At 37.9% G+C, this 18,990-nt stretch overlaps 1 protein-coding gene across 1 annotated transcript in view, besides 1 other annotated feature; it reads left to right on the top strand.

Moving 5' to 3' along the window:
- Positions 1-18,990, top strand: part of HEMK2 (HemK methyltransferase 2, ETF1 glutamine and histone H4 lysine) — a 309,770-nt gene that overhangs the window by 32,998 nt on the left and 257,782 nt on the right. The window lies entirely within an intron of this gene.
- Positions 16,997-18,196: an enhancer, noted in NCBI's record as "MED14-independent group 3 enhancer chr21:30206496-30207695 (GRCh37/hg19 assembly coordinates)". NCBI's record gives its function as "activates an origin of replication core promoter dependent on BRD2, BRD4, P300/CBP and CDK7 cofactors, and independent of MED14, by STARR-seq in HCT116 cells {active_cell/tissue: HCT116}" and the evidence as "EXISTENCE:reporter gene assay evidence [ECO:0000049][PMID:35650434]".

The following is an 18,990-nucleotide window of genomic DNA, read 5'->3' as shown; positions in this document are numbered from 1 at the left end:
GTCCAGTGTGTCCCGGGACTCATCCTGTGGTCACTTCCCCGGTGCCAGAATGCATAATTGGCATAGACATACTTAGCAGCTGGCAGAACCCACACATTGGCTCCCTGACTGATAGGGTGAGGGCTATTATGGTGGAAAAGGTCAAATGGAAGTCATTAGAGCTGCCTCTACCTAGAAAAATAGTAAATCAAAAACAATATCTCATCCCTGGAGGGATTGCAGAGATTAGTGCCACCATCAAGTACTTGAAAGATGCAGGGATGGTGATCGCCACCACATCCCCTTTCAACTCTCCCGTTTGGACTGTACAGAAGACAGATGGATCTTGGACAATGATAGTGGATTATCGTAAGCTTAACTAAGAGGTGACTACAAGTGCAGCTGCTGTACCAGATGTGGTTTCATTGCTTGAGCAAATTAACACATCTCCTGGTACCTGGTATGTACCAGGTACTTGGCAAATAACTTTTTCTCCATTCCTGTCCATAAGGCCAACCAGAAGCAATTTCCCTTCAGCTGGCAAGGCTAGCAGTATACCTTTACTGTCCTACATCAGGGTGTATTAGCTCTCTGACTTTGTGTCATTGTCTTATTTGGAGAGACCTTGATCACTTTTCCCTTCCATAAGATATAACACTGGTCTATTACATTGATGACATTATACTGATTGGATCCAGTGAGTGAGAAGTAGTGAACACACTGGACTTATTGGTGAGACATTTGCATGCCAGAGGATGGAAAATAAATCCAACTAAAATTTAGGGACTTTCTACCTCAGCAAAATTTCTAATGGTTCAGTGATGTGGGGCCTGTCGAGATATTCCTTCTAAGGTAAAAGATAAGTTGCTGCATTTGGCCCCTCCGACAACCAAGAAAAAGGCACAACTCCTAGTGGGCCTATTTGGATTTTGAAGGCAACACATCCCTCATTTAAGTGTGTTACTCTGGCCGATTTATCCAGTGACCTGACAGGCTGCCATTTTTCAGTGGGGTCCAGAACAAGAGAAGGTTCTGCAACAGGTCCAGGCTGCTGTGCAAGCTGTTCTTACACTTGGGCCATATGACCCATCAGATCCAATGGTGCTTGAGGTGTCGGTGGCAGATAGGGATGCCGTTTGGAGCCTTTGGCAGGCCCCTGTAGGTGAAACACAGTGGCAGCCTCTAGGATTTGGAGTAAGGCCCTGCCATCTTCTGCAGATAACTACTCTCCTTTTGAGAAACAGTTCTTGGCCTGTTACTGGGCTTTGGTAGAAACTGAATGTTAGATTATGGGTCATCAAGTCACCATGCGACCTGAACTGCCTATCAAGAACTGGGTGTTTTCTGACCCATCTAGCCATAGGTGGGGTGTGCACAGCATCATTCCGTTATCAGATGGAAGTGGTATATATGCATCTGGGCACAAGTAAGTTACAGGAGGAAGTGGCTCAAATGCCCATGGTCTCCACTCCTGCCACCCTTCCTTCTCTCCCCTTCTCTTCCCCAGCCTGCACTGATAGCTTCTTGGGGAGTTCACTATAATCAATCGATAGAGGAAGAGAAGACAAGGGCCTGGTTAATAAACTCCCCTTAGTAAACTCCCTTTTATATGCACATCTATCCTATTAGTTCTGTCCCTCTAGAGAACCCTGACTAACACAATGGTTTCTGTACTTAAGTGTGTTTTTGTGGTGGCCAGTAATGGTCTTTTGTTCCAATATTTAGCACTCCCTTAAGGACCTTTTGTAAGGCAGGTCTGGTGGTAAGAAATCACCTTAGCATTTGCTTATTTGAAAAAGAGTTTATTTCCCCTTCACTTATGAAGCTTAGTTTGGCTCCATGTAAAATTCTTGGTTGGAATTTCTTTTCCATAAGAATGCTGATCACACCTGTAATCCCAGCACTTTGGGAGGCCGAGGCAGGCGGATCACGAGGTCAGGAGATCGAGACCATCCTGGCTAACACGGTGAAACCCCGTCTCTACTAAAAATACAAAAAATTAGCCGGGCGTGGTGGCGGGCGCCTGTAGTCCCAGCTACTCGGGAGGCTGAGGCAGGAGAATGGCGTGAGCCTGGGAGGTGGAGCTTGCAGTGAGCCGAGATTGCGCCACTGCACTCCAGCCTGGGCGACAGAGAGAGACTCCGTCTCAAAAAAAAAAAAAAAAAAAAAAAAAGAATGCTGAATGTAGGTATTCTGTCTCTTCTGGCTTGTGGGGTTTCTGCTGAAAAGCTGGCTGTTCATCTGACAGGATTTCCTTTGTAGGTGACCTGCCCCTTCTCTGTAGCTGTCTTTAACATTTTTTCTTTCATTTTGACCTTGAGGAATTTGGTGACTACATGTCCTGGAGATCATTGTCTTGCATAGTATCTCACAGGGGTTCTGTGCCTTTCCTTAATTTGAATGTTTCCTCTCTAGTTAGGTTAGGAGAATTTTCATGGATGATATCCTCAAATATGTTTTCCAAGTTGCTTGCTTTCTCTCTTTCTCAGGGATGCCAATGAGTCATAGATTTGGTCCCTTTACATAATCCCATATTTGTTGGAGGTTTTATTCATTCTTCTTTATTATTTCTTTATTTTTGTCTAAGTAATTTTGGAGAACTGGTCTTCAATATCTGAGATTCTTTCATCAGCTTGTTTTATTCTGCTGTCAGTACTTACTATTGTATTATGACATTCTTGAAGTGAGTTTTTCAGCTGTATCAGATCCGTTTCTTTTTTTCTTAAAATGGCGATTTCGTGTTTTACCTCTCATATCATTTTATTGAATTCCTCAGATTCCTTGGATTGGGTTTTGACTGTCTCTTGGATGTCGATGATCTTTGTTCCTAACCATATTTTGAATTATATTTCTGTCAACCATTTAAGCCTGGTTAAGAATCACTGCTAGGGAACTAGTGCAGACATTTGGAGGTGAGAAGACACTCTGGCTTTTTGAGTTTCCTGAGTTCTTGCTCTGGTTCTTTCTCATCTGTGTGGCCTGATGTTCCTTCAGTCTTTGAAGTTGATGTCCTTTGGATGGGTTTTTTTTTGTTGTTGTTGTTTTTTTGCTTTTATCTTTTTTGATGCTCTGGGAGTTTGATTGTAGTATAATGTGGGTTCAGCTGACTGGGTTTTTTTCTTTGCTGGAAGATACCAGGGAGCCAAACCTCAGCTCGGCACTCCTGGTCTGCATACTATAACTCTGGGGGGCTGGTACTGGGCCCCTGGCTTTTGTTCTCTGGCCCCTCAAAGTTAGGAACCTTCTGTACCGGAGGGGCTGAGGTCTTCCCAGTCCACTGGCCACAACACTCTGATGGGTGGTCGTAGCCAAAGCATGTTGTCAGGGTGGTGGCTGTAGGATCTGTGCTAACTCACACATGCCAGCAGCTGGGGCAGCACAGTGGGGTGTATGCGTGTCAGCTGGGGTGGGGTACTGGCGGGAGTGGGGCTGCAGAGTTCCTGCGTGCACTCATACCAGTGGCAGAGCGCAGGCAGGGGCAGGGTTGCTGGTGTCTGTGCTTGCACTCACACTGGCAGTGACTGGGGTGGGATACTGATGGGTGTAAGACTGCTGGCCTCCATGTGTGTATTCATAGTTGGTGGTGGTGGCACAGCAGTGGGTGGAAAAATGCATTTCACACAGTGGGTTTTTTAGATTTTCAGTTGTTGAATATTAGGAAATTTTATAAACATAATCTGTTATAACAACACATTAAAGGAAAACTATAGTTTTATCAATAGATGCCTAAAGGAGTTTGAAAGAAATGAATTGTTTCTAATAACATTGCTAAGTAAAAGAGAATGTATTAAAATTAGAAAACATAAAGCCATTCAGAAAATTCTTTAAATTTTAAAATGCTAAAACTATTTTAATTAAATTAGTTACTAGAGGAGGACACTCATTATCATTCTATTTAACATTACCTCAGAAGGGCTACTGAATGTAGTAAGATAAGAAAATTTAAAAAACCGATATAAACTTACAAAAAAGAGATCAAATGATCTCTTTTTGTTGATAATATTGTATGCCTAGAAAATTCAAGAAACCGTAGTAAATATTACTAGATTTAAAAATAAGAATTTTCTACAGTTAGAATTACAAAACATGGCTGAAAGAAATCAGAGACCACATGAACAAATGAAAAAACATTCCATGCTCATGGATAGGAAGAATCAATATTGTTAAAATGGCCATAATACTGAAAGCAATTTATAGAATGAATGCTATTCCTGTCAAACTGTCAATGACATTTTCCACAGAATTGGAAAAGACTGTTCTAAAATTCATTTGGAACCAAAAAAGAGCTCGAATAGCCAAAGCAATCCTAAGCAAAAAGAACAAAGCTGGAGGCATCACACTACCTGACTTCAAACTGTACTATAAGGCTACAGTAACTGAGACAGCATGGTACTAGTACAAAAGCATACAGACAGACCAATGGAACAGGTTAGAGAACCCAGAAATAAAGTTTCGCATCTACGACTATCTGGTCTTTGACAAAGTCAACAGTAGCAAGCAATGGGGAAAGACTCTCTCTCTTCTGTAAATGGTGCTGGGATAACTGGCTAGCCACATACAGAAAACTGAAACTGGACTCCTACCTTTTACCATACACAAAAATCAAGTCAAGGTGGATTAAAGACTTAAATGTAAAACCTAAAACTATAAAAATCCTAGAAGAAAATCTAGGAAATAGCATTTTGCACATTGGCCATGGCAAAGTCTTCATGATGAAGATGCCAAAAGCAATTGCAACAAAAACAAAAATTGATAAATGGGACATAATTAAATGAAAGAGCTTCTGCACAGCAAAAGAAACTATTAACAGAGTAAACAAACAACCTACTGAATAGGAGAAAATATTTGCAAACTATGCATCTGAAAAATATCTAATATCCAGAATTTATAAGGAAATTAAATTAACAAGCAAAAAGCAAATAACTTTGTTAAAAGGTGGATAAAGAACATGAACAGACACTTTTCAGAAGAAGATGTAACCATGGCCAAAACGCATATGAAAATATGCTCAACATTGCTAATCATTAGGGAAATGCAAATCAAAATCACGATGACATGCCATCTTGCATCAGGCAGAATGGCTATTATTAAATGTCAAGAAATAAATGATGCTGGTGAGGTTGCAGAGAAAAGGGAATGCTTATACATTGCTGGTGGGAATATAAATTAATTCAGCCACCGTGGAAAGCGGTCTGAAGATTTCTCAAAGAACTTAAACAGAAATACCAATCCCATTCCTGGTTATATACCTAAAGTAATATAAATTGTTTAGCCTTAAAAATACATGCATACATATATTCATCACAGCATTATTCACAATAGCAAAGACATGGAATCAACCTAGATGCCAGTCAGTGGTGGAGCTGATGAAGAAAATATGGTACATATATACCACAGAATACTACACAGCCATAAAAAAGAACAAGATAATGTTCTTTGCAGTAACATGCATGGAGTTGGAGGCCATTATTCTAAGCGAACTAATGCAGGAACAGAAAAACAAATGCCACATACTCTTGCTTATAAGTGGGAGCTAACATTGAGTACACATGGACACAAAGATGGAAACAACAGACACTGGAGCTTACTTGAGGGTAGATGGTGGGAGGAGGCCAAGGATTGAAAAATTACCTATCAGATACTATGCTTATCACTGGGTTATGAAATAATCTGTATACCAAACTCCTGCAACACACAATTTACCTATATACCAAATCTGCACATGTACCCCTGAACCTAAAATAAAGGTTAAAAAAAATTGACAAAGGGCATGAACGGACACTTCTTAAAAGAATACATACATGTGGCCAACAAACATATGAAAAAATACTCAATATTACTAATCATTAGGGAGATGCGAATTGAAACCCCAACAAGATACCATTCCAAGATACTAGTTAGAATGGCTATTGTTAAAAAGTCAAAAAACAATAGATGCTGGCAAGGTTACAGAGAAAAGGAACACTTATATATTGCTGGTGGGAATGTAAATTAGTTCAGCTATTGTGGAAAGCAATGTGGAGATTTCTCAAAGAATTTAAAGCAGAAGCACCAGTTGACCCAGCAATCCCATTACTGGGTATATATCCAAAGGAATAGAAATCATTTCTACCATAAAGGCACATGAATGCATATGTTCATTGCAGCACTTTTCACAATAGCAAAGACATGGAATCAACCTAGACGCCCATCAGTGGTAGACTGGATAAAGAAAATGTGGCACATGTACACCATGGAATACTGTGCGGCCATAAAAAAGAATAAGATTATGTTCTTTGCAGCAGCATGGATGGAGCTGGAGGCCATTCTCTGAAGCAAACTAATGTAAGGACAGAAAACTAAATACCACATATTCTCACTTATAAGTGGGAGCTAAACACTGAGTACATATGGACACAAAGAAGGGAACAATAAACACTGGGCCTACTTGAGGGCAGAGGGTGGGACGAGGGTTTGGATTCTAAAACTACCTATTGGGTATTATGCTGACTATCTGGGTGACAAAATTATCTATACATGAAACCCCCATGACACACAATTTACCCATGTAACAAATCTGCACACGTACCCCTTGAACTTAAAATAAAAACTTTAAAGAAAAAAAAGAGAATTTGGTAAGGAGATGAATAGAAGATAAATTTTTAAAAAGCATTAGTTTATCTCTGTGTTAACAAAATACTTAGAAATAGAAGTGAGAAAAAAATTTCTACTTACAATTATTGGAAAAATATAAAATACTTAGGAATAAATCAAACAAGAAAAGAAACTGCATAAAGAAAAATAGAAAATCTTACTGAAAGAAAATAAGATTTGAACAAATGGAAAGGCATATCACATTGAATAGAAATACTTAAGAAGAGAAGCATTAAATACACACACCTAGTGAGTGTATAAACATAAGGCAGTAAAATTAGAATTGGCATTCTTTGGAGGTATGATTGGCCAAAGAAGGTTAAAGTTTATACTGAAGAATAAATGCTTCAGAATAGCTAAGAAAATATGCAAAGGGGGAATAGTGAGAGGTCTTGTCTTACTGGATATTAGTATAAATAATAAAACTACTGCATCATAATCATGTGGTTGGGAAAGGAATAAAAATTGCAGAAATAGAAGCCAGTATAGATGAGTTTAATATATTTCCAAAGTAGTAGTTCATTTTAGTGTGAAATGAATCAATTGTTTGATAAATGATGTTTGGACAATTGATTATCCATCTGGAAGAAAAGAAAAGAGGATCACCATTTTATTCTACCTTTAAATATAAATTCCAGATGGCTAAGAAGCTTACATGGTCAAAATAAAATTGTAAAAGCCTTGCAAGAAGATCTAGAAAATTGAATGTAGAAAAATGTATGAACTGAGAGCATCTTTTCCAGAAGCTATAAAAGATAGACATATTTGAACCTTGATGTCACAAAGGATATCATAAATAAAACAATAGACAGACATTCAATTTTCAACAAATATTTGTAACTGATTTTTTCAAATAGCTGAACATTTGGCCAAAAGTAACACAATCCAATTAAAAAATGGGCAAAGAATTATGAATCCATATGTCCAAAAAATATATAGAAGGATTCTCAAGTTTGTTATAATAAGGAAAATGCAAATTAAAGTAAAAGAAAGTGTAATTTTACATCAATCAGATGACAAAAATTGAAGAGTTATAATAAATACTACTGGTGGTGATTTAGGGAAGGGATTAGTCTCATGGCTGGGAAAAATATGAGGTGTTATAGGTTTTGGGAAAGCCATTTGCCAACATCTATTAAATTTAAAAATATATGTGTGCTTCTTGGCCCAGCAATTCCAGTTCTTGGACTCTATTCCATAGAAAGATATTCACATGTAAGGCCATGTGTTTGTAGTGGCAAAAATGTCATTAAAAATAATGATTAGTGCTATACCTATTGACCTGTAGTGATTTCCACAAGGTATTCCACACAAAAGTTTGAGGAGACAAGATATAGAAATTGTAGGATCCCTTTTTGTAGAATAAACAATAATACTTATATATGTAGACTTACATCACATTTCTGTATAGGATTGCATGGTCAGGGAGAGAAGTATGGAATTAGGCTAATATGAAGAGTGGAGAAAAAAGCAGATGGATAGCTTCTCTGCTTTGAAAGAATGACCATCAGCCACTGTTGAGGATATTTAAAATCAGATGGTATTGACTGTTAATAAAATTCCTAATGAGAAATTCAAACAATTAAAGCTTACCAAATTGACCACTATGGAGGATATATATGCTTGAAATTTGTGTATATGTATTACGTTTAAATGTGTATATATATATAATTCCTTTGTCATTTCTCTTATTGCTTCACATATTGGAAGTAGGTATTATATAATCCCTAAATAAGCAATAGATTATTAAAACTTTGACTTAAAAACAGTCACACTTATAATGTGCTCTAATAGTGCATATAAATATATGTTTTATTTTTGAGCATTTTAAAATTCAGATTCCCTTAAAATTTCTTAAAAACACTAATTTCATATTATACGGCTTCCCAGTCCTGAATTACACATTTTACTACTATGTGAAGCTGGATGCCCTTCAGAGAAATTGGCAAAGGATAATGGCATGTAAAATACTGTTCATTTCTCATTTCCCAACCATGAATAGTAATATCCACATTATAAACATAAAATATACTCCTCAGACTTCACATCCACAGAACTGGCTTATCTGCACAGAAAATTTCATGTTTAATCAAGAAGGTCTTTAAGCTGAAAGGAGACCATGACATGCTTTAAAAGACTAAAGAATTTTCTGGTTCTATCTTCCTACCTTTCTTTGCAAAAATAATTGGGTTCTGATTGAAGTTTGTTATTACTGAGTATGTCTTTTTTGGAAGAAGATCATTAAGTTTGAATTGCACATGTGCTACCTTTTCAGAATTCCCGGATAAGGACTTAATATGGTTTTGGATTGTAATCCAAATTGTAATCACCACATGTCAAGGGAGGGACCTCGTGGGAGGTAATTGGATCATGGGGGTTGTTTCCCCCATGCTGTTCTAGGATAGCAAGTGAGTTCTCATGATTGCCTTTCTTCCCCTTCGCCTTTGCCATGATTGTAAGTTTCCTCAGGCCTCCTCAGCCATGCAGAACTGTGAGTCAAGTAAACCTTTTTCCTTTACAAATTGCCTAGTCTCAGGTACTATCTTTATAGCAGTGTGAAAATGGACTAATACAGGGCTGTGCATAATTTGTCTTTACAAAACGCGTGTTGAAACCACATGTGTTTCAAGTTCATGAGGATACTATTAGTCTCATGTAAGAGAAGACTCAGCCAATAGTGACTAGACAAAATGAACATTTACTTTTCTTATTTAAAGGAAGTCTAAATATAAGTAGTTACAAAGTTACAGTTCAACAATTTTATCAAGACCAAACTGTCTATCTTCCCATTCTTCCATCTCCAGTAATTTGATGCTATCTCCCATTGTAGACTTGGGATAACAACTGCACACTTAGCAGCAGGTTTTTACATATCCATCTCCAAAGTTAGGCAAAGGGACCCTCCTAACTAATATCTACCTGATTCTCTGTATACAATCAGAGGAGGAAATCTTCCCAGTTGCTTACTGGGATATTCTACCTTTGTCTCATCATTCATAACGAGGTCCCATGATCACCTGAAATAAATCATTGGCAAAAGGAAATGCGACTACTAGCACTAGCTTAGACTAGCCAAGATTTATCCTCTGTGACTGGGCACGTTGTTGCTGAACAAAACTCGGCTTCTGTTAGGTGGGGAGAAGGAGTAATGGCTTTGGGTAGGCAATCAACAGTGACTGCCACATGAGCAAATAATTTCCAGGTATCGTCTGGGTCTACCCTCTACGAGTCATCAGGAAGGAACAGTAGAAAGCACAATCAAATACTATCAGGCCAGTTGCTAACAAGCATCCAATTATTTCATGGCATCTGTTGATAGTCTGAGAAGTTAGGATATTAGTTCATGTGTTCAGTAGAAATACAGCTAAATCAACAAAGGGTGAGAGAGGTAAATGTTTAAGGAAAAATAAGACAAGAAAGAATTATCTCAATCTTTTATTAATAGTGTATAGAAAACTGAGTTATGTAGTTATACATGTGATATAATAAGATATAATTTTATATGAATAAATAATGTAATATATAATAATGATGCCAATAACACCCATGGAACACTTTAGGCTAGCCATTATGTCAAGTGCTTGATATGCATGTTGCTGTTTAATCTTCACAATTATCCTTTGGGATAGTGTGTCAGGCATCTATCCCTAAGACCACCCCAGGTTCAGTGACTTTCTAGAAGGACTCATAGAACTCAAAAGTTGTAATAGTTACAGTTACAGTTTATCGTAGTGAAAAGATATACAGCAAAATCAGCAAAGGGAATAGGCACATGTGACTAAATCCAAAGGAAAGCAGCCTCAAGCTTCCAAGAGTCTCTCCCAGTGGAGTTGCACAGAATGTGCCTAATTCCTCCAGCAATTAGTTGAGACAAGTGTGAAATGTTGTCTTTCAGCAGGGCTCTCCTAGCCTAGGAGTCTAAGGGTTTTTGTTTTTATTTTTTATTTTTCCATAAATTATTGGGGTACAGGTGGTATTTGGTTACATGAGTAAGTTCTTTAGTGGTGATTTTGTGAGATTTTGGTGCACCTGAGCAGTATACACTGCACCATATTTGTAGTTATTTATCCCTCATCCCCTCCCACTCTTCCCCGCAACTCCCTAAAGTCCATCGTATAATTCTTATGCCTTTGTGTCCTCATAGCTTAGCTCCCACATATCAGTGAGAACATACGATGCTTGATTTTCAATTCCTGAGTTACTTCACTTAGAATAACAGTCTCCAGTCTCATCCAGGTCACTGCAGATGCTGTTAATTCATTCATTTTTATGGCTATGTAGTATTCCATCATATATATTATATATAATATTTTATATATAATATATATATTTTATATATATAATATATATATTATATATATAATATTTTATATATTATATATAATATTTTATATAATATATAATATTTATATATATAATATATATTTATATATAATATATATTATATATTATATATAATATATAATATATATTATATATAATATATAATATATATTATATATAATATATTATATATATAAATATATATAATATATAATATATATAATATATTATATAATATATATATTATAATATATATTTATATATTATATATTATATATAAATTATAATTATATAAATTATATATTATATATTATATATAATATTTATTATATAATATATAATATATATAATATATAATATATAATATTTATTTATATATAATATTTATTTATATATAATATATAATATTTATTTATATATTATATATATAATATATATATGTATCTATCACAGTGTCTTTATCCATCCATTGATTGATGGGCATTTGGGTTAGTTCCACGATTTTGCAATTGTAAATTGTGCTGCTATAAACATGCTTGTGCAAGTGTCTTTTTTGAATAATGACTTCTTTTCCTCTGGGTAGATACTCAGTAGTGGGATTGCTGGATCAAATGGTATTTCTACTTTTAGTTCCTTAAGGAATCTCCATACTGTTTTCCATAGCAGCTGTACTAGTTTACATTCCCACCAACAGTGTAGAAATGTTCCCTGTTCACTGCATCCATTCTAGTATCTACTGTTTTTGATTTTTTGATTATGGCCATTCTTGCAGGAGTGAGGTAGTATTGCGTTGTGGTTTTGATTTGCATTTCCCTGATCATTAATGTTGAGCATTTTTCACGTTTGTTGGCCATTTGTGTATCTTCTTTTGAGAATTGTCTATTCATGTCTTTATCCCACTTTTTGATAAGATTGTTTTTCTTAGTGATTTGAGTTCATTGTAGATTCTGGATATTAGTCCTTTGTCAGATGTATCGATTGTGAAGATTTTCTCCCACTTGTGAGTTGTCTGCTTACTCTGCTGACTGTTCCGTTTGCAATGCAAAAGCTCTTTAGTTTAATTAGGTCCCAGCTATTTATGTTTGTTTTTATTGCATTTGCTTTTGGGTTCTTGGTTATGAAATCCTTGCCTAAGCCAATGTCTAGAAGGGTTTTTCCAATGTTATCTTCTAGAATTTTTATAGTTTCAGGTCTTAGGTTTAAGGACTTAATCCAACTTAAGTTGATTTTGCATAAGGTGAGAGATGAGGATCCAGTTTAATTCTCCTACATGTGGCTAGGCAATTATCCCAGCACCATTTGTTGAAAGAATGTCGTTTCCCCACTTTATGTTTTTGTTTACTTTGTCAAAGATCATTTGGCTGTAAGTATCTGGGTTTATTTCTGGGTTCTCTCTTCTGTTCCATTGGTCTTTGTGCCTATTTTTGTGCCAGTACCATGTTGTTTTGGTAACTATGGCCTTATAGTATAGTTTGAAATCAGATAGTGTGATGCCTCCAGATTTGTTCTTTTTGCTTGGTCTTGCTTTGGCTCTGCAGGCTCTTTTTTCGTTCTGTATGAATTTTGGAATTGTTTTTCTAATTCTGTGAAGAATGGTGGTGGTATTTTGATGGGGATTGCATTGAATTTGTAGATTGCTCTTGGCAGTATGGTCATTTTCACAATATTGATTCTGCCTATCCATGAGCATGGGATATGTTTCCATTTGTTGATGTTGTCTATGATTTCTTTCAGCAGTGTTTTATAGTTTTCCTTGTAGAGGTCTTTTGACTCCTTTGTTAGTATATTCCTAAGTATTTTATTTTTGCAGCTATTGTAAAAGGGGTTGTGTTCTTGATTTGATTGTCTGCTTGGTTGCTCTTGGTGTATGGAAGAGCCACTGATTTGTGTACATTAATCTTGTATCTGGAAACTTTGCTGAATTCTTTTATCAGTTCTAGGAGCTTTCTGGAGGAGTCCTTAGGGTTTTCAAGGTAATCAATCATATTGTTAGCAATCAGTGACAGTTTGACTTCCTCTTTACTGATTTGAATGCGCTTTATTTCTTTCTCTTGTCTGATGGCTCTGGTCAGGACATCCAGTACTATGTTGAAGAGGAGTGGTGAGAGTGGGCATCCTTGCCTTGTTCCTGTTCTCAGAGGGAATGCTTTCAACTTTTACCATTCAGTATTAAGTTGGCTGTGAGTTTGTTGTAGATGGCTTTTATTACATTAAGGTATGTCCCTTGTATGCTGATTTTGTTGAGAGTTTTAACTATAAAGGGATGCTAGATGTTGTTGAATGCTTTTTCTGCATCTATTGAAATGATCATGTGATTTTCGTTTTTAATTCTGTTTATCTGTTGTATCACATTTATTGACTCACATATGTTAAACCATCCCTGAATCCCTGGTATGAAACCCACTTTATCATGGCAGATTGTGTATATATATGTATATATATATATATATATATATATATATTTTTTTTTTTTTTTTTTTTTTTTTTGAGGCGGAGTTTCAGAGTTTCGCTCTTGTTGCCCAGGCTAGAGTGCAATGGCATGATTTCGGCTCACCACAACCTCTGCCTCCCAGGTTCAAGCGATTCTTCTGCCTCAGCCTCCCGAGTAGCTGGGATTACAGGCATGCGCCAACACGCTCAGCTAATTTTGTATTTTTAGTAGAGACACGGTTTCTCCATGTTGGTCAGGCTGGTCTCGAACTACCGACTTCAGGTGATCTGCCTGCCTCGGCCTCCCAAAGTGCTGGGATTTCAGGTGTGAGCCACTGTGCCTGGCCCTAGATCTTTTTTATATATTGTTGGATTCAGTTAGTTCGTATTTTGTTAAGGATTTTAGCATCTGTGTTCATCAAGGATGTTGGTCTGTATGTAGTTTTCTTTCTTCCTTTTTTTTTTTATTTTGAGACAGAGTCTCACTCTGTCGCCCAGGCTGGAGTGCAGTGGCGCTATTTCAGCTCACTGCAAGCTCCACCTCCTGGGTTCATGCCATTCTCCTGCCTCAGCCTCCAGAGTAGCTGGGACTATAGGCGCCTGCCACCATGCCCGGCTAATTTTTTGTATTTTTAGTAGAGACGGGGTTTCACCTTGTTAGCCAGGATGGTCTCAATCTCCTGACCTCGTGATCCACCTACCTTGGCCTCCCAAAGTGCTGGGATTACAGGTGTGAGCCACCGCACCCGTCCTGTAGTTTTCTTTTTTGGTTATGTCCTTTCCTGGTTTTGGCATTAGGGTAATGCTGCCTTTATAGAACAAATTAGGGATGGTTCCTTCTTTCTTTATCTTGTGAAATAGTGTCAAAAGGATTGGTACCAATTTTTCTTTAAATGTCTGGTAGAATTCTGCTGTGAATCTGTCAGGTCCTGGGCTATTTTTTTGTTGGCAGTTTTAAAATTGCCATTTCAATCTCGCTGCTTGTTATTGTTTTGTTCAGGGTATCTAATTCTTCCTAATTTAAGCTAGGAGGGTTTTGTTTTTCCAGAAATGTATGCATCTATTCTGGGTTTTCTAGTTTATGTGTGTAAAGGTGTTCATAGTGGCCTTGAACTATCTTTTATATTTCAGTGATGTCAGTTGTAATATCTCCTGTTTTATTTCTTAGTGAGGTTATTTGGATTTTCTTTCTTCTTTTCTTGGTTAATCTTGCTAATAGTCTATCAATTTTATTTATCTTTTCAAAGAGCCAGCTTTTTGTTCATTTATCTTTTGTATTTTTTTTGTTTCAGTTTCCTTTAGTTCTGCTCTGATCTTGGTTATTTCCTTTCTTTGCTGGGTTTGAGTTTGGTTTGTTCTGTTTCTCTAGTTTCTTTAGGTGTGACCTTAGAGTGTCAGTTTGTGCTCTTTCAGTCTTTTTGATGTACGTGTTTAGGGATGTGAACTTTCCACTCAGCACTGCCTTTGCTGTATCCCAGAGGTTTTGATAAGTGGTATCATTATTGTCATTCAGTTCAAAGAATTTTTAAATTTCCATCTTAATATCATTTTTGACCCATTGCTCATTAAGGAGCAGGCTATTTAATTTCCATGTGTTTGCTGGCTTTGAAGATTCCTTTTGGAGTTGATTTCCAGTTTTATTCCAGTGTTGTCTGAGAGAGTGCTTGATATAATTTTAATTTTCTTAAATTTATTAAGGCTCATTTTATGACCTATTATATGGTCTGTCTTGGAGAAAGTTCTATGTGTTGTTGAATAGAATGTGTATTCTGCAGTTGTTGGATGAACTGTTCCGTATATATCTGTTAAGTCCATTTGTTCCAAAGTATAGTTTAAATCCATTGTTTCTTTGTTGACTTTCTGTCTTAATGAGCTGTCTAGTGCTGTCAGTGGAATGCTGACGTCCCCCACTATTATTGTGTTGCTGTCTATCTCATTTCTTAGGTCTATTAGTAATTGTTTTATAAATTTCAGAGCTCCAGTGTTAGGTGCATATATTTTCAGATTTATGATTGTGGTATTTAGGGTTTAGGATTGTGATATTTTCCTGTTGGACAAGGCCTTTTACCATTATATAATGTTTCTCTTTGTCTCTTTTAACTGCTGTTACTTTAAAGTTTGTTTTGTCTGATGTAAGAATATTTACACCTGCTTACTTTTGGTTTCCATTTGCATGAAATGCCTTTTTTTTTTTAACCGCTTTACTTTAAGTTTATGTGAGTCCTTATGTGTTAGCTGAGTCCCCTGAAGGCAGCAGATGGTTGGTTGGTGAGTTCTTATCCATTCTGTGGTTCAGTATCTTTTAAGTGGAGCATTTACATCATTTACATTCAATGTTAGTATTGAAATGTGAGGTACCATTGCATTCATTGTGCTCTTTGTTGCCTGTATACTTTGTTTTTGTTTTTTGTTTTTGCTTTTTAGCTTGTATTTTTGTTTTATAGGTCCTGTGTGATTTATGCTTTAAAAAGGTTCTGTTTTGATGTGTTTCCTCCAGGATTTTTTTTCAAGATTTAGAGCTCCTTTTAGCAGTTCTTGTAGTGGTGGCTTGGTAATGGCGAATTCTCTTAGCATTTGTTTGTCTAAAAAAGACTATCTTTCCTTCATATATGATGCTTAGTTTTTCTGGATACAGAATTCTTGGCTAATAATTGTTTTGTTTGAGGAGGCTGAAGATAGGGCCCCAATCCCTTCTAGCTTGTAGGGTTTCTGTTGAGAAATCTGCTGTTAATCTGATAGGTTTTGCTTGCTAGGTTACCTAGTGCTTCTGTCTCACAGCTCTTAAGATTCTTTCCTTCGTCTTAACTTTGGATAAGCTGATGACAATGTGCCTAGGTGAAGATCTTTTTGCGATGAATTTCCCAGGTGTTCTTTGTGCTTCTTGTATTTACATGTCTATGTCTCTAGCAAGGCTGAGGAAGTTTTCCTCAATTATTCCCCAAAATATGTTTCCCAAGCTTTTAGAATTGTCTTTTTTCTCAAGAACACTGATTATTACGTTTGGTTGTTTAGCATAATCCCAGACTTCTTGGAGGCTTTGTTCATATTTTCTCATTTTTTTTTTCTTTGTCTTTGTTGGACTGGGTTAATTTGACGACCATGTCATTGAGCTCTGAATTTCTTTCTTCTACTTGTTCAATTCTATTGCTGAGATTTTCCACAGCATTTTGCATTTCTAAAAGTGGTCCAAAATTTCCTGAATTTTTGATTGTTTTTCTTTAAGCCGTCTATTTCCTTGAATATTTCTCCCTTTACTTCCTGTATCATTTTTTGGATTTCCTTGCATTGAACTTTGCCTTTCTCTGGTCCCTCCCTTATTAGCTTAATAACTAACCTCCTGAATTCTTTTTCAGGTAAATCAGGGATTTCTTCTTGGTTTGGATCCATTGCTGGTGAACTAATGTGGTTTTTTGGGGGTGTTGAAGAGCCTTGTTTTGTAGTATTACCTGGGTTGGTTTTCTGGTTCCTTCTCATTTGGGTAGGCTCTGTCAAAGGGAAGGTCTAGGACTGAAGGCTATTGTTCAGGTTCTCCCACGGGTTGTTCCCTTGATGTAGTACTCTCCCCCTTTTCCTATGGATGTGACTTCCTGTGAGATGAACTGCAGTGATTTTTGTCTGTCTTCTGGGTCTAGCCACCCAGTGAGTCTACGCAGTTCTGGGCTGGTACTGGGGGTTTTCTGCACAGTGTCCTGTTACGTGAACCATCTATGTGTCTCTCAGCCATGGATACCAGTGCCTGTTCTGGTGGAGGGGGCGTGGGGTGCAATGGACTCCATGAGGGTCCTTTGCTTTGGTGGTTCAATGCTGTTTTTGTGCTGGTTGACCTTCTGCCAGGAGGTGGCATTTTCCAGACAGCATTAGCTGTAGTAGTATGGGGAGGAACTGGTGGTGGGTGGGGCCCTAGAACTCTCAAGATTATATGCCCTTTGTCTTCCGTGACCAGGGTGGATAGGGAAGGACCATCAGGTGGGAGCTGGGCTAGGCCTGTCTGAATTCAGGCTCTCCTTGGGTGGGTCTTGCTGCAGCTACTGTGGGGGATGGGGGTGAGATTCCCAGGCCACTGGAGTTGTGTACCTAGGAGGATTATGGCTGCCTCTGCTGAGTCATGCAGGTTGTCTAGGAAGTAGGGGAAAGCCAGCAGTTACAGGCCTCACCCAGCTCCCGTGCGAACTGAAGGGCCCATCTCACTCCCACCATGCCCCCACCACCAGATCCCCATTCATTTCCAGGTGGAGAGCAATATGGGTTTGAAAACCTGCCTCAGTCTACCCACCTCCACGCTACAAAAGAAAGGGGCTTGGGTCTTCCCTTGCCTTTGGAGTCTGCATGCCGGATTTGTGCCCTCCCCTGAGTTCTGGCCAGGAGGCTTCAACCCCCGTTCTAATTGTTACATAGTTCAGCTAGAGATTTCCTTCTCCTTGTGTAGTTTTATCCCCTGCTCCTCTCCTGTTGGATCCCTGTGGTGACAGGCAGGAATGGCCTGCTAGGGGAGCCAGTGAGTTCCCAGAGCCTTTCTGCCACTTCCTCTGCCCCTGAATTTCACTCAGCTCTCTAGATTGACTCAGCTTCAGGTAAAGTAAGAAAATTCTCCTGCAAACAGACCTTCAGCTTCTCCAGTGGGAGTGTGAGTTCAGGAAAGGAGGGTCTCCATTTTCTGCTTCCAAGGTTGGGGCACTCACAGTTTTGGGGGGTCTCCCAGGTCCTGTAGGAGCTGTCTGCTTCCTTCAGAGGGTCTGTGGGTCCTCTCAGGATTGCTGGTTTGTTCTTGCAGTTGATCTGGAGCTAAAATTCACAATGCAAGACCTTGCACACTGCTCTGTCTGGAGTTGCAATCTAGTCCTACCTCCCATCTGCCATGATTGAGCGAGTCTAGGGTTTTTGTTGGGGATCATTCACATAGGCACATGACTTGTGCCATTGAAGCTCCAGGCTCCCAGAAGCAAGCATAAACCACGTTGCACACGTATGCAGACAAACTGGTATAGTATGGCTCAAGAACCCATGTGAGAAAAATACTCTTAGTTCTTGGAACATTCTAACAGTTTAATTCCCAGAAGCTGGTCAAAGAGCAGTCATGAAAACAGGCCTTTCTTGGGAATGTGCAAGGTTTGAACAATTCAGCCCTGCTGAGTTAACTCTTTTCTGCACAGGTAGATATCGTTGCTATACCCATTTTACAGATGAGGAAGCAGAGACTTAAAAAAATTTAGTGACTCACTGCAAATGTAGTGAGAAAACGATAGAGGCAGGATTCAGTCCAACCTTGCCTGGCCTTGTCCAAACCTGAGCTTGTAACTCTGAAGTCCATACTTTTCCCTAAACGTGGGCATATGTGGCCTCTTTCCATAAATTTGGAAAAACATTTTTAAGTTAAAAACCTCACAAAGTTAGAAATTTCAAAATGGTAGAGCCAAAAAGGAGGGATAATGTAATTTATGTTTGTTTAGTTGAAAAATAGTTTCTGTTTAGTTAAAGCACTGGCATGTACCTGGTAAGTCATTCTTGGTCTTGGACATGTTCTTAGAGTCATTGAGAAAGATCTTGAGATTATGTAACTGCCATTACTGGATTTGTCACATCCATCTGTTTATGTCTCTGCTGTAAAATTATTAGGGCACAGTACTT

The sequence above is a fragment of the Homo sapiens genome, chromosome 21 (genome assembly GCF_000001405.40).
Source record: "Homo sapiens chromosome 21, GRCh38.p14 Primary Assembly".
Lineage (NCBI taxonomy): Eukaryota > Metazoa > Chordata > Mammalia > Primates > Hominidae > Homo > Homo sapiens.
The sequence above is the reverse complement of the archived record's forward strand: the minus strand, read 5'-3'. Positions and strand labels throughout refer to the sequence as shown.